At 38.6% G+C, this 15,845-nt stretch overlaps 1 annotated feature.

The window, feature by feature from the left end:
- Positions 12,960-14,159: an enhancer, noted in NCBI's record as "CDK7 strongly-dependent group 2 enhancer chr7:51818404-51819603 (GRCh37/hg19 assembly coordinates)". NCBI's record gives its function as "activates an origin of replication core promoter dependent on BRD2, BRD4, P300/CBP, MED14 and CDK7 cofactors, with strong dependence on CDK7, by STARR-seq in HCT116 cells {active_cell/tissue: HCT116}" and the evidence as "EXISTENCE:reporter gene assay evidence [ECO:0000049][PMID:35650434]".

The raw sequence follows: 15,845 nt of genomic DNA on the forward strand, positions 1-15,845 counted from the left end.
ATGGATTGCCCCAGTTAGACCTCATTCTGGCTGCCTTTGCCCCTCGGAACTGGGGCAGGGGTGATAATTAGAACTGTGCATCACAATACGTGTCACATCCTAGTGTCATGGCTCTGCTTGGCATAGGTGGGAGCAGCGAGGCCTTTCTTTCAAAACTCTACCACCTCTCAGATCACATATATTTCAGCCTTTGCACTCCTCCCTACCTCTCCCCAGCAAAGGCTTCACTCCTCTGACCAACACAATTTAAATTCTGATCTGTCACTTATGAGCTAAGCTAATTTTGGTGAGCTACTTAACTTTCCTGTACCTTATTTTCCTCATCTTGGAAAAGGAGGATTGCCATGTAGGATGAAAGAAATATAAAATCCATAATGACATTTCAAAAACACTGCCTATAACTTAGTGGGTAGTTCACAAATATGTTTTCTAATTCACGTCCTTCCTTTCTTTTCCTTGTTCTAATATGTCCTAAAATCCTACTGTCATGAACTGCTCTCTAATTTTGCTGTCAGATTTTGCCACTACTTAAAAATCTGGCTAATGACCATGATTGCAGTTAGTTTTCCTCTTTATCTCACAAAGTCTTGGGTATCAAGAGTTGCTGAATATGTCCTGTGCCGAACATTTATGTCCTCCTGTGCAGACAGAAGTGTCCAGGCTATGATGGTCATCAGCTATCTATATTCAGGTGTTACCAGAAGGGAAGGATGACCATCACTGAGAACAAGCTTTTACCTCAATCTAAGGGGAAATTGGGGAACATTTTCTGCTCCAGGAGTGCCTGTGGGAGAATAGGAGCTTCAAGAGCTACACCTGCTGAGGGGGTACACTATAACCTATGGGTGTGTCCAGCAATGCACATTCTGGTAACTGTAGAGTCTGTTCCCACCCTTGCCAAGAGCTCATGCAGGAGGGGTCCACAGACAGGAGCTGTGAGAAGATCCTTGGAAGTGCTGCTGAACCCAGCTGCTGGGTCTGCGAGGTAGTGTGGGGCTGGACACTGTCCTGTGACAGTAGCCACTGAGATATGCCACCAGGAGTTGCTGTGTGACCTTTAAGGATAGGCACCAGCAGTTTGGCATCCTGAGGGGAAAACGGACTGTGCTACATTTTTGATAATGTTCTCGCTGAACAGAGAGAGAACAACATTTTTTAAGCGAGATATATTATGGAATTGGTAGCCCAGAAGCTTCTGGCAGGTGCTTGAATCAGTTATCAAGAAATAGACACCTGGTCCTTCAAACTGCTGGTACATTAAACACTATTTCCATGCCTTCTATGAGTAAATAAATTATAAATAAATGTACATATATATGTATATATTATGTATGTAAAATAAAATATACTATCCAGATAAAAAAGAAAATCTTATTCCAACCAATATTTTTTGGAAAGATCTGTCTGTTAGGGAAGATAATACACATTTTATTTATTTATTTATTTATTTTAGTGTGAGATCGTGGTCTATAAAGAATGCAAGCTGGGGAGGGGGAGAATAAATGGAGCAAAGGAGGAGAAAAGAAAAAGATATATTTAAGAAAGAGTCTGAACTTTTCTAAGAAAATGAGCCCTTGTTTGTAGCAAAAAAACCAGAGAGTGGCTGTGGGCTCCAAACAGATTTTAGGAAAACAAGGCATGGGACCCCTGATTTTTTTTTTTTCTTACATCTATTTGTTGTGATTTAGAAAAATGAATACTGAGAAAATTCTATGCTTAGAAAAGGTAATACCCAATGCTGGCAATTATACAATGAAATGGACATTCATACAGTGCCAGTGGCAGTATAAACTGGCACTGGGATAGACGTTTTGGAAAGCAATTTGGCAGCATAGGTCAAAAGCCACTAAGTGCACACTGTAACTCAGGAACTATATTTGGATTTTTTTTTGTCCTAAAGAAATTATCCAAAAACATGACAAAGCTGGCATTTCTGTGTGCACAGAAATGATATTGAAAGATATTTTTCATAATTTTTAAAAGAAATAAATTGAATATTCATCTATACTGGAGTAATTAAGTAAATGCCATGTCTACTCATTGGGATTTTAAGCAGCAACTTAAAAGAATATATAGAAGTGTTGAAAATTTTTATGATTTTATGTTAAATGAATAACTAAATTACATACTAGAAAATAAACAAATTTATGCCTATTATAAAAATCGAATTTTAAATTAATCCCCAAATTTTAAATTCATTCCATGTGATACATTTCCCAAAGTCTTTAAGGCAGTGCTTCTGAAAACTGTATTAGCTGCAGAGTAGCTTGTGTTCATGTTTTTAGTTGATGGAAACCTAATTCTTGGTAAGCTAATATACCTCCCAATCTTGGACTGGTTATGGGAGATAGAAAACGTAAGAGTACTTGTGTTTTGAAATTTACCAAATGACCCAGCAAGTCTAGTCTTAAGTATCTTCCAAAGCAGGAGAAAACAACACCACATGTCCACACAAAAATTTGCATGTGAATGTTTATAGCAAGATTATTCATAGTAACCCAAAAGTGGAAATAACTCAAATGTTCATCAACTGGTGAATGGATAAACAAAATATGGCATATCCATCCATACAATGGAATGTTATTCAGCAGTTAAAAGGAATGGAGTATGATGCATGCTGCAATGCAGGTGAACCTCAAAAATATGCCAAGTGCAGACAACCAGAGGCAAAAGTCCAGTCCTGTATGATGCACTTTACATGAAATGCACCTGTAGGACAAAAATATAGGGATGTAGAGTAGATTAATGTTTGCCTTAGTTGGATATGAAGAAAAAATTAAACTCCAAAGAGGCAAAGGGATTTTATTAGAATTTTGAGAATGTTCTAAAACCGGATAGTGATGGAGGTTGCGCTATATGGTAAATTGACAAAAATCATGAAATTGCACACTTAAAATAAGTATTTTATGGTATTCAAATTACACCTCAATAAAATTGTTGCATAAATCTGCTTTACTTATCTGATACGGTCAACATTAAAATTAGAATACATTTTGAGATTTTCCTGGAGCATTGAGGAACCTGGTTTAGAATATTGTGTGCTGGAATAAGTGCTTTTTGCAGAAATGTGAAGGTTCTTTGGTTTTCTGTCTCCCACTGCTCATTTGACTGATTTTTCACAAGTATCCTTGTAAAACTCTGCTTCCTAGGCCATGGTAAAGCTCAGGCAGCTGAAACATGGAGGGATGAGGTGGCTGGTCATTCTGAGGATACCCTGCAGAGCTATGATGCAATTTCAGCTGCACCAAATATGCTCTATTTTAAGTTACAAAGCACTTCAAATTACAGAAAAGCATCCAAAATGATACAATAGATTTGTTAAAACTCACTACTCAGATCTAGGAAATGTTAACATTTTTTCAATCTTTGTGTTATATTTTTGAGAAATAAAAATATGCAATTTTGCAAAGGCACCCTCCCACCACATTTTTCTACCTCCTCCCACTGCACAGGTGATCACATGCTGGAAGTTGGTGTTCACTTTTTCTGAGTATGTTTTTATAATGTATCTCATGTGTACTTCTTTATAACTTGGCATTCACTGTTATAACTTGGCATTTTCACTGCTGGAGTGACAGATTCCCCAACTGCAGGAAGCTCCATCCATAAGCATGTGTCAGGCCTCCACCAGTCACAGTCTCCGGGCTTTCTAGTCAGGGCTGCAGGCTGGCTGCAGCTCAAGTATCATTTCTTCCCACAGCAAATGGAAAATCTAAAAAGTAAGTGAACTTGCTTCTCACAAGCATCTCACTTTTCATCATGAGGAAAAACATTAGAAGTCTCCAAAAGATTTAACAAACCTAATCCTTTGCCAGGTTTGGGTTACCTTTTCACACTCAGCCTAGGTTGGACATAAAGATGGCCCTGAGATTCTTACTACTGGTGGACATACCCTGTACAATTGCTTGCCTTGAGTGTGGATGCAACCTGGGCAGATGATGTATCACTCCTCTGCATAGACTATAAATCAGTCACTGTTGAGTTACTCGAAAGGGAGACCATACTGGGTGGGCCTTCCCTAATCAGAGGAGCTTTTAAATTAAGATGAAGCATCAGAGAGATGAGCTTTTAAAGCCAACAGTCATGTCCTGAACTGCCTATTGGAGCCTTGAGGCAGAGAACAGTGGTGGCCCCTGGGAGCTGAGAGAAGTCTCTATCTAACAACTAATGAGAAAATGAGGACCACAGTCCTATAAGCACAAGGAAATGAATTCTTCCAACAACCAGGGAGCTTGGAAGAGAACCCTGGGTATCAGGTGAAACCCTGGCCCTGGTCAACACTTGAATACCAGCCTGGCGAGATCCTGAGCAGAGGACCTAGCTAAGCTATGCACAGACTCCTAATCTGCAGAAGCTGTAAGATAATAAAGGTCTGTTGTTTTAAGCTGATAAGTCCACGGCAATTTGTCATGCAGCAGTAGAATACAAATACATCCCTAAATGAATCATTGGGAATGGTAATTACATCAATCTTCATTTATCACCTGAGGATTTCAGAGGGGTCTGTCTTCCTTGGATTTATTTCTATCATGTAATTTTACACATTCTGCTTTTTTATGCTTCTCCTCTGCTTTTCATTCCTGCTTTTAATTATACTGATTAAATTTTCTCTATTCACCCAAACACACTTTTTTCTTCTACTGGTATTTATTCTCATTCTTGTAAATGAAACACAATAAATAATTTTAATATAATAAAATTTAAATTGAAGCAGTATGACTATAATTTTTATTTTCTTCTCATCTTTCATGACACTATTGTGTAGCATTTTAATTCTAATTTGTTTTCAATCAATACTATCTAAATAGTAACTATAATAATTATTGTCCTTATAATAAAAAAATTAGATTTATTTACATGTTTACCAGTAATTTATTTGCTCACCATGGCTGCTTGTATCACCCTCCTTGTTCTTGGTATAGGTTCTTTCTTTTGTTTTTGTTTGTTTGTTTGTTTTGGTAGAGACAGGGGCTTGCTCTGTTGTCCAGGGTAGAGTACAGTGGTGCAATCCTAGCTCACTGCAACCTTGAACTCCTGGGCTCAAGCCATACTCCCACCTCAATCTCCTGAGTAGCTGGAACTACAGGTGTGTGCCACCACAACCAACTAATTTGTAAATTTTTTGTATAGATGGGTTCTTGCTATGTTGCCCAAGCTGGTCTTGAACTCCTGGGCTCAGGTAATCCTCCTGTCTTGGCCTCCTAAAATGTTGGGATTACAGGCCTGAGCCACCATGCCAGGCTGCCTTACCTATTAAATGACAGTTTCAGTAGATCTAATGAGAATTTAGTCATGTGGGTGTGGATGACTCTGGTGTTGTGTTGGAATGGGAATGGAATCAGCAAAAAGAACTATAAAGCCATGCTTTTCTGAAGTCATTCTGTGCCTGATTCCCATGCCATGGATTACACTATTTTTGAGTAATATCTCTTTCAATTCTACCAATCTGGATATCCCAGGACTCAAAGAGAATACCAATACACGCTATAAATGCATCTCAGTGCATTGTACCAATGCAATTTTATTAATAGTACCTGTGTTTAATTTTTATGTATGTTTAAAGACTGACTGCAATTTTTAATAAAGAGAAAGTTATATGCAAGGGGAATGTATTCCTGGTGTGGCTTCATCTTAGTTTTACGTTAAAACAAGATGAGCAAAAAAAAAGTAGTATACCAAAATGCTTAGGGTATTTGTAGTAATATAATATAATCTGATTTCTTTTCTTATAATCAACCATTCTCCAAAAAAATTTAAATTCCAGCTACGGTATGTTCATAATGCAAAAATTGGTACTAACAAACTAAGATGCAAAGCATTATGTATAGTGAAGAGACCAGGGTCAGAGATTATGGCCCTTACTGCTGGCTGCAGTGCAGATATTTCCAGCAGCTTTCTCCTTGCGTTCGGAATGCTGTGGGGATTTTATTTGCTTGAGCTCCACAAATATGATTCCAGTATGATTATAAAGTAATCAAAATTCAGTAAACAACTCATAGTAGGCATTGTGTACAATCATAAAATGTCAGGGCTCAGGAAAACAGTGCCAGGTGCTGACTTTTAAAAGGATCACTGTCACTTTTTAATAAAAACATTTGTTTAGCATCGCAAACATGCAAGACATTGAATATACTTGCTTTGGATTGCTGGAATTAAAATGAGGATTGTCTTAGCTCTCATCTTGAGACCTGCAATTCTCACCTGCTCACAAAGTGAGAGAATTGTCAGTGTTGCTGCTGAGTCCATCCCTACACAAAATAATGACAAAACTCGCCAGTCTCCCTTGCAGCTAAGTGTGACCATTTGACTACGTTCAGTTCTACATAATTGGACTTGAAGAAATGTGTGCAGCTTCTGGGGCATGTGCTTAAATGATGGAGCTGCTCCCTTTCTTCCTCCCTTCCTCCATCCTAGAACTTGACCATGGATGTGATGGCGAGTCATCTCACGCAGAGGAACAAGGGGCCAGCAAGCTTTTCCTGCAAAGTACCAGAATGTTAGTACTCTGGGCTTTGTGGGCTGAACAGTCTCTGTTACAACCGCTCAACATTTTTTGCTGTAGTAGAAAAGTGTCCATGAACAAGACTTCAACAAATGAGCATGGCTGGGTTATAATAAAACTCTGTCTGCAAAGACAGGCTTTGGGCTTCATTATGTCCACAGCCTTAGTTTGCATATCTCCACTCTAAGGAGGATGCAACAAATATATTGGTGATAATTTGGTCTTTGGAGGACAGCAGGGTCTTCCCATTGAAGTCCACAAAATATAAAAGGACATAAAATTCAATGCAGGAGGCTGGTATATAGTGATCATTGCATCTGAGAGGCCAAGTTGGGGGAATCTAGAGAGCAGCAGAAGCAGGAAACCACCTGGCCTGGATTGAAGGATATAGTGGCAGGCACGACCACCAGGGACCAAGGCCGGGTTTCCCCACTGAAAGCCACAGCCACAGCTCTAGAGCTTCCCCTTTGGAATTCTGACCTGAGATGAGAAATAGCCCGTCAACTTGCTTAAGCTGCTGCTTGCATCTTTATGACATGAAATTCACTAACATCATAATGCCAGGGACTTGTGCCTTTAGTGCACGAGTGGGGAACTGTGTATACAAAGGCAGTCTGGTTTGGAAGCTCACGTATCTGATCCCCTGGCCCAGGATTTCAGTCAAGGTTGGAACTCCCATTGCCTTTTAGAAATAGGAAGAGTAATTCCAAGTTTAGGTGCAAGTTGCGGAAATAAAGTTCTCCTCAATGTCCCAGTTCCTTTTTCCTTTGTTTAAACTTGAAGCTGGGATATTGCAGAAGGCATATTATGGTGGAGCATGTGGCACCTCTGCTTTTCTCTCTTTTGAATTGGGCCACTCATGTAGACGACGTGGGAGACTGGGTGGGCCGTGGGCTGGTGCTAAGACTTGAGGTAGCCCTTGGCAGTTCAGTGAACACCACAATGTCACCTCTACATGGTGATTTCTGATAAAATGACATGGGTTGTCTGATCCCTGCCTTCAGTGTGCTTGAAACGGAAACAAGTTGAATGGTGCCGTTGAGGAAGTAACTGCCTTATCTTTCCATGACCTGCAATTGCCATGCTCCTGAGATGGCGCTCCCTGTACTTTTACAGCTCTTTCCCTCCACACTGCACTTGCCATTCTTTGATGCTCTTTTATCCTTCATTGCAACCATGCATTGAATTACCTCAAAATTTTTTTGAAATGGTAGAAGTACAGATGCATACAGAGACAGAGAGAGATGGAGAGAGGTGGGAGAGAGAGAGGGGAATTGTGCCTGTATAAGTCTTACACAACAGTCATTTTATATTTAGACTATACCATAGTCATTTTAGAATATATATGCGAAGAAATGATTACAATGCAAAGATAGATAAAACAGAAAAAGAGAGAGAGGGCGAGAAACAATAAAAGCTTAATGTTTTTCTTGGTTATGCAGTACTAGAGGAACTGAAATGTATTCCCGGTGTGGCTTCATCTTAGTTTTACGTTAAAACAAGATAAGCAGAGCCAGGAATGGTATTGCTTTCTCAGTGCCTATGAGGCTTTATCAGTGAGACTAGCACTGTTTTTGTCGTTAGTTTCACCTTGCAGTATAAATGCATTGGAAAGTCTTCTCCAGTAAATTTCAAAAGTGTCTAAACAGCTGGTCCTTTAGAAATATATTTTTGCTGACATATATTTATCTTAATGCAAAATTTATAAAAGAGAAAGGTAAATGCTCAAATGTGTTCCAAATGAAGGCATTCTCATTATAGACATTTTGCCTATTTTTTTGAAAACATTATCAGGCAGAAAACTGAAGTTTGAAACATGGCATGATAAACTTTGCTCAGTGTCTGGAAATCTGCTTGAAGTGAAGCCTACTCCAGGTGACAGTGAGTTCTTGATAGATTCCATGGTACTACCTGATGGTATTACCTGAGGAGAGTAGCGGTAACAGTATAGGCTTTACTCACCTTTCCTTCCTCTGTTCTCATCTCTTATTAAAATCTCCCATCATACAGCTTTTCCCAAAGTGAGAATTTCACAAAATGCAAGCTTTGTAAGCTCTTCTAGGAGAACAACTAAAAATGGGCTGTGTGTTCAGCAGTTGTGAGTCCAACTGGGAGCTCCCTTTGGGGAGGCATAACACATTCCTGTCTAGTATAGCCCATATTGTGTGCTTCTTGCCACCATTTGCCTGCCTGGAGGTGACAGATTCATTTCCATCAATTACAAATATATTTTCTTAAATGGTGATCATTTTGGGTACTGCCAAAATCCTTATGAACACTGGCAAGTCAGCCTTTTTTATTGGTATTCTCTTCTGAATATTTAAACACAGACATTCATCGTTTTTTTTATTTTTAATGGACACCTTCCCCTGTCTTCAAGAGTTTAAACTTTATAGCCTCATTTGTTGTGCCACGCGCAGCAGAAGAGCTTTTAGTTGATTGTTGTCAAGGGCTCAGTAATTTGATTGAGGAGATTCGAAGATTTTGAACAACAGTCTGGTTTAGTTGAATGCATCTTCTCTAAGTCATGGCAATTCTCTCCTTGCAAGTTTAACACTCTGTGAATAAAGTCATTTCATCAATATCACCCTCTCCACTTGGAGGAGAATCTGATTGAATTGATTTAGAGACAAGAGAAGTATCCTTGAATTTCCTAATATTTCCATGCTGTGCTCTTTGCTGTCATTAATTTGCTGATTTAACCCTATACTTCTGACTACTTGACTTCATGCCTGGCAGACAATCCTGCCCCCCAGACCCCAAGGTGCAGGCTTTGGCTTAAGTGTTTGGTATGAGGGACTGTGTTATTGTCCTCCAGGGTGTGATTTCTACGATGAGGTTTCCTGTTCTACATTTTGCTTTCTCCTTTCTGAGTTAGGTGTGAGGATTGAAAAGAGGACCAGAATAAAATCTTGTCTGTTCACAGTTGAAAAGGTGCCTAATGCCAGCTGGTCCAAAATCAATCCAAATTTCTAATGCTGTATAACCCAGAACAAAGCATCTAAATTTAAATATCTATTTTTCTATCACTATCAGTATACATTATTATATATAATACAAACAAAAAATTTTGTATAAATCTTTTAATTTTAATTTACAATGCAATTCACATATTTTTTCTGAATTACTATTTTATTAAACTATTACAATTAGAATTTTTTTATTTTCAGGGAGTAGAAAAGATAAGTTTCACAAAAATGGGATTTGTTTCCTGAATAAAAAATTGTTGCAAGCTCACTAAAGTAAATTCTAATATCATGGAAAGGTAAAATAAGAAAAATAACCTCCCCAGAAATCCTATGATTAAGAGACAAGAAAAATTTAGTTTTATGGTACACACACATTTCATAAAATTAGAAGCATACTGTTTTTAAATATATTCTACAGGTGCTTAAATATGAGCAAGATTTTTCCCATGGGATTACGGTCATCCCTTTGTATCCATGGGGAACTGGTTCCAGGAGGCCCTCACATACCAAAATCTGAGGATGTTCAAGTCCCTGATATAAAATGGTGTAGTATTTTCACATAACCTATGCACGGCCTCCTGTGTACTTTAAATAATCTCTAGATTACTTATAATATCTAATACAATCTAAATGCTATATAAATGGTTGCTGTGCTATATTTGTTTTTATTTGTATTGTTTTTATTGTTGCACTATTTATTTATTAAATATTTTTGATCTGCCATTGGTTTAATCTGTAGATGCAAAACTTGCAGCTATGGAGAGCTGGCTGTGTCTAATTTTTAATAATAGAACCCTATTATATGGGATATTTTTAAGGAATATACCTATCATAAGAGAAAATAATGCATATATTACTATTTCTATCATCCTTTGGTGTTTTTACATCTTTTAATTCCTTTTATTTCTTTCCTATCTGCTTACGTATATTTTCTTTAATTATTTTAAAATTTTTATTGACATTTAGAAATCATACACTTACATTTAAATTGTTTTACGTATTAGTCTGTTCTTATGCTGCTAAGAAAGACAAACCTGAGACTGGGTAATTTACAAAGAATAAAAGGGGTTTAATGGACTCACATGACTGGGGAGGCCTCACAGTCATGGCCCAAGACAAAGAAAAAGCCAAGAGATGTCTTACACGATGGCAGGCAAGGGAGCATTTGCAAGGAGACCCCCTTTATAAAACCATCAGATCTTCTAAGACTTATTCACTATTATGAGAACAGTATGAGAAAGACCTGCCCCCATGATTCAATTACCTCCCAACGGGCCCCTCCCACAACATGTGGGGATTATTACAATTCAAGGTGAGATTTGGATGAGGACACAGAGCCAAACCATATCAGCTAATTTAGGGATTATTTTTGTAACAAACTTACTAGTATTAGCTAACATCCACAGAGAGATGTGATTTAGCTGATAGCTTAAAAATTATCAACATTGAAAATAAAATGTGTCTATGAACCAGAATATAAGATAAATGCACCTCCTCACATCTCTCATGGGTACTTTTGGTACAAGCTGGGATTATCTTATTTATTAATGTTTAACTGTGTATCTTCTCTCTCAAAAAAAATCAAATCACTTTTGACTCTTTTGTTTGGAAGCACACTCAAATCAATTATTTAGTCCTTATTTGTTTAGCTTGTTGCCATGGTCACAGTTACCCATTTTATATTGTAACACTACGATTCTTGAGTTTAAAAAAATTGATTCAAATTTTCCTAAGCTCAAGTATTCCTAGGGATATTTTCATGAAGGGCATATTGAGGGCTTAATTAACAGATCTTTAGATGTCTTGGAACATGTTTTATTGCCTGCACACATGAGTTAAGACTTGCCAGTTCCCTTCAAACTCTTAGATATTGTATCATAAGATTCAGTTATATCCATGTTTTAAGTAATAATCATGTCAATGAAAATAATAATAAGGCTAACTGTGTGGAACTGAAAACCGTCTACCGGATAGCCATATCCATTTGTGCCCACAGGCTTCCTTCCAGCTTCGGGCACCTACCCTTCAAAATCGTCAGGGATCATCTTTGAGAGTCACCTTCCCCAGTAATACATCTATTGTCACACCACCAGAACCTTCCAGTGCTTTACTGGCCCGGTCCTCTCCCCATGCCACGGACATCATTCCAGCAATGAAGCCTTAGCCTTCAGGTGTCAGCATCAGGTTTTTTTCTCTCTCTCTTTCATTTGTATAAATTTATAAGCATAAATGCAATTTTGTCACATATATAGATTTCATAGTCATCAACTCAAGACTTTAGGGTATCCATTGCCTGAATAATGTACATTGTACACATTAAGTAATCTCTCATCTTCCACTCATCCTCCCACCCCATCATCTTTTTCAGTCTCCGTTGTTTATCATTTCACACTCTACATGCATGTATAGATACTATTTAGCTCCCACTTATACGTGAGAACATGTGATATTTATCTTTCTGTGTTTGAGTTGCTTTGGACCCCAAGTTCCATTCATGTTGCTGAAAAACACATGATTTCCTTTTTTATGGCTGAATAGTATTCCATTGTGTATACATAGCACATTTTCTTTATCCAATCATCTGTTGATGGACACTTGGGTTGATTCCATATCTTTGCTATTGTGAATAGTGCTGCAATACACATATAAGTGCAGGTATTTTTTTTAATATATTAATATTTTCTCTTTCTAATGAATGGCCACTCTTACCTCCCCACTTCTTGCCTTATTTCCCTGTTCTCCTTTAGCGTCAGTTCTTCAAAATTGCTCATTGTCTCAGAATTCTTTCCACCACTTCTCTTTCAAACTTCATACAGCAGGCATTCACTTCCACCATTGCCAACGTCACCAAAAACTTCCATGCTGTTAAACACAATGGTCACGTCTAAGTCCTCATCTTAGTTGCACCCAAGTCATCATTGAATGCAGCTAATGGCTCCTGCCACCTTGAAATCTTTCATCAAATAGTTTCTAGGATACCACACTGATTTTTCCCTAGCTCACTCATCTCTTCTTGTCCATATATATTTTCTTTATACTTTGTTGTACCCTCATCTAAACTCTTGATGCTAGAATGTCTCAACTCCCCATCCATGAAGATCCATATCACACCAGACTCATAGATCAGCTGTTGACATTTTCCCTCAAATGTCTAATTGGGCATCTTGTCTATACAATGGCCAGAAGGAATATCTTGATTCTTCTGCCTCAAATCTGTGGTCCCATCTCCACATTCTTCCTCTTCTTAGCTGGTAGCAACTCTGACTTTGTTTGATAGATAAATAGGTCATGGAGCCATTTTGCTTTTCTTTCTTGCATACCCCATATCCCACCTATCAGCAAATTCTCCACTTTCAAAGCATGTCCAGAATCTCTCTCAACCTCCACCTCTATCACTCTGCTGCAATCCAGTGTAATGTCTTCATTGGGATGCTGTCATAATCTCTTAACTGGCCTTCCTGCTTCCGGCCTTGCACTCTATCCCTACCCCGATCCATTTCCCGCATGGCAGCCATTTAATATCCTGTTAAAATGTACTTCAGGAAACATCATTCCTGTATCTTCTAAATGACACTGCAGCACCTGGTCTCCTCTGGTATCCTCATCACTGGGCCTCTTATGGTCTCCCTCGCTCCTTCTCCGGCAGCCACTCTTGCCTCTGTGCTATTTCTGGAACAGGGCAGGCATCTGATCATTCCAGAGCTCCTCCCCTCTGATTCCTCTCCCTGGGATGGTCTTCCCCTAGATATCAGCAGAGCTTTGTCCTCCCCAAACCCTTTCAGTTCTTTATTCAATATCACCTTCCAAGCAAGGCCTTCATTAAATTTGTTTCAAAATTCACAACTTCTGCCTCCTGCAATTCCCTATTCTTTTTCTCTGCTTTATTTTGCTTCCCAGCACTTATCGCTTTCTAGTTTTACTCCAAGTTTTGCTAATTTTCTCTGCCCCCTCCCTCCTCTCACCCATCATAATGTAAATTCTATAAGGGCAGAACATATGTTTCTTGGATTAATTCTTATATTGCCAGAAACTAAGATCAGTACCTGGCACACTCTAGGCACTTTGTAAAATTGTCAAATGAATTTAAGGTATCATATCACAGTGTGCTGTACACATGTTGTTCTCACAGCGTGACAAATACAAAGCGACAAAAAGAACATCTTTCAAAATTGTCAGTGCACTGCTGAATGTACGGACAAACCCACGTGGGGATTCCAGCAGAAATCGAAATTCCACTGACTAAGTGAAGGTGAAGCCACGTGAAGCCTCCGACTCTTCCCTTACTCACCTCCCCAACCCCTCACCTTCTAGTGGGCCTGAGTCACCTTCTCTCCTTGGCTTCTGTCTGGGGGCTGCCTGCACCGATTCGGTACGTTCAAATTGGTCTGTGGACATCCATCTCTTACATATAATCATGTTTCAGAATGTCTACTTCCTTACTTTCTTGAAATCCTAAAGAGAACACCATTTTATGTGTTAGTGTATGCTTTGAAGAATTCCTTTCCTATTTATAATGAGTATTATTTTTCTTTTTTCTGTAGACCCAGGGTATGTCGGTCACCATTCATCCACCTTCTAATCTTTCCAGAAAGAGGAGTGGTCCATTCAGCTCTGGGCACGTGTCTAAATGGAGAGCCAGATTCTCATTATTCTCCTGGTCATTGGTAGACTCTTTCCTTTTTTTTTTTTTTTTTGACGGAGTCTCACTTTGTTGTCCAGGCTGGAGTGCAGTGGCACGATCTCGGCTCACTGCAAGCTCCGCCTCATTTTCCTGCCTCAGCCTCCCGAGTAGCTGGGACTACAGGTGCCCGCCACCACGCCCAGCTAATTTTTTGTATTTTAGTAGAGGCGGGGTTTCACCATGTTAGCCAGGATGGTCTCGATCTCCTGACCCTGTGATCCGCCTGCCTCGGCCTCCCACAGTGCTGGGATTACAGGCGTGAGCCACCACACCAGGCCCAGAATCTTTCCTTTACATTTAAAGTCAAAATTTGAGGCTTCTGGTCCAGTTCCTGATTTCACTCATTCATTTATTTTGTGTTGATCTGACAGAGGAGATAGTTCCTCTTGTGCTCTGCAAGAAAGTGAGAAATTCATTGTTTAAGTGTCTGAAAGTATTCATTTTTTTCCATATAGAAAAAAGTGAATGAACAACTACAGTCTTCAGATTGCAAAAACATATCAAACCTATTTATCTTTTTGATTGTCTTCAAAATCTTGAATATAAAGTACCACGACATAGTTACTTTTATCCTTGGAGTTGTTCTCTGAATTGGATTTTTGTATGAAGGACTGATGCATAAAAACACGGATTTATAGAGAATAAAGGGTATAGACTCTGAAGAAGAAAAAAGCAACTTTCTTTTTTTTTTTTTTGGAACTTAAGATGTTTTATTTTCTTGTTATTTTCCTCTTATAGTCTCCTCAGCTGTGAGCTAAAACGCTGCTGCTCCATATGGGTTATGCATACGCTGTCATTTGGCCCCTCTTTCTGAATTTTAGGACTCTATAAGTCATTACATCCTTTTGTTCCCATTCTGTGATGGCATTCACACCCCTGCAGCAACTTGCAAGGGATCAAATGTTCTTTATTAAAGCCAGGTGGAAAACCTCCAAGGTATCTTAGAGAAAAGCAGCAGCAGAAGGAGAAGACTTGGTCAGGTCAGGAGGAACGGCCCAAGAGAGGAAGAGGCTGCTGTCATCACCCTAGCCTTCTGAGGCATCTCCACCCTAGCTTCCTAGTCTCCTCTTTAAAATTCTGGCGCAAAGCAGACAAAATCTCTTTCTTTTTCCATGTTCTCTCTAGCACATATTTGATGCAAAGAGAACAAGAAAGACACCGAAAAGTATATGAAATAATTTACATTAAAAATAAAAATTTTCATTTTACCCTAAACTCACATACAAGGTTCCTGGGCTCTGTGCCATTGGGTGTATTCTCTTTAGATAATTATGCTTAAATCTCCAAAGCTTCATATGGCACCTTGCTTCTTAACTCCTACTCTGCTTTTTAAATAGTTATGGGTAGATAATAGTTGTATACATTTATAGGGTACATGTGACATTTTGATGCAAGCATACAATGTGTGATGATCAAATCTGGGTAACTGGGATATCCATCACCTCAACTGTTTATCATTACTTTGTGTTTGGTGCATTCCAAATTCACTCTTCTAGTTATTAATATTTTGAAATATACAATAAATTATCATTAACTATAGATGTCCTATTGTGCAGACTCTTCTATTTCATTGGAGAAAATAAAATTGGAATCAGTGTGTTCAATCAAGGGAATCAAGGGAAAATAAAATTGGAATCAGTGTGTTCAACCAATAATTCATCCCTGTATCAGAAATTGTACTATATTTAAATAC

The sequence above is a fragment of the Homo sapiens genome, chromosome 7, assembly GCF_000001405.40.
Source record: "Homo sapiens chromosome 7, GRCh38.p14 Primary Assembly".
In the NCBI taxonomy this organism is placed as follows: domain Eukaryota; kingdom Metazoa; phylum Chordata; class Mammalia; order Primates; family Hominidae; genus Homo; species Homo sapiens.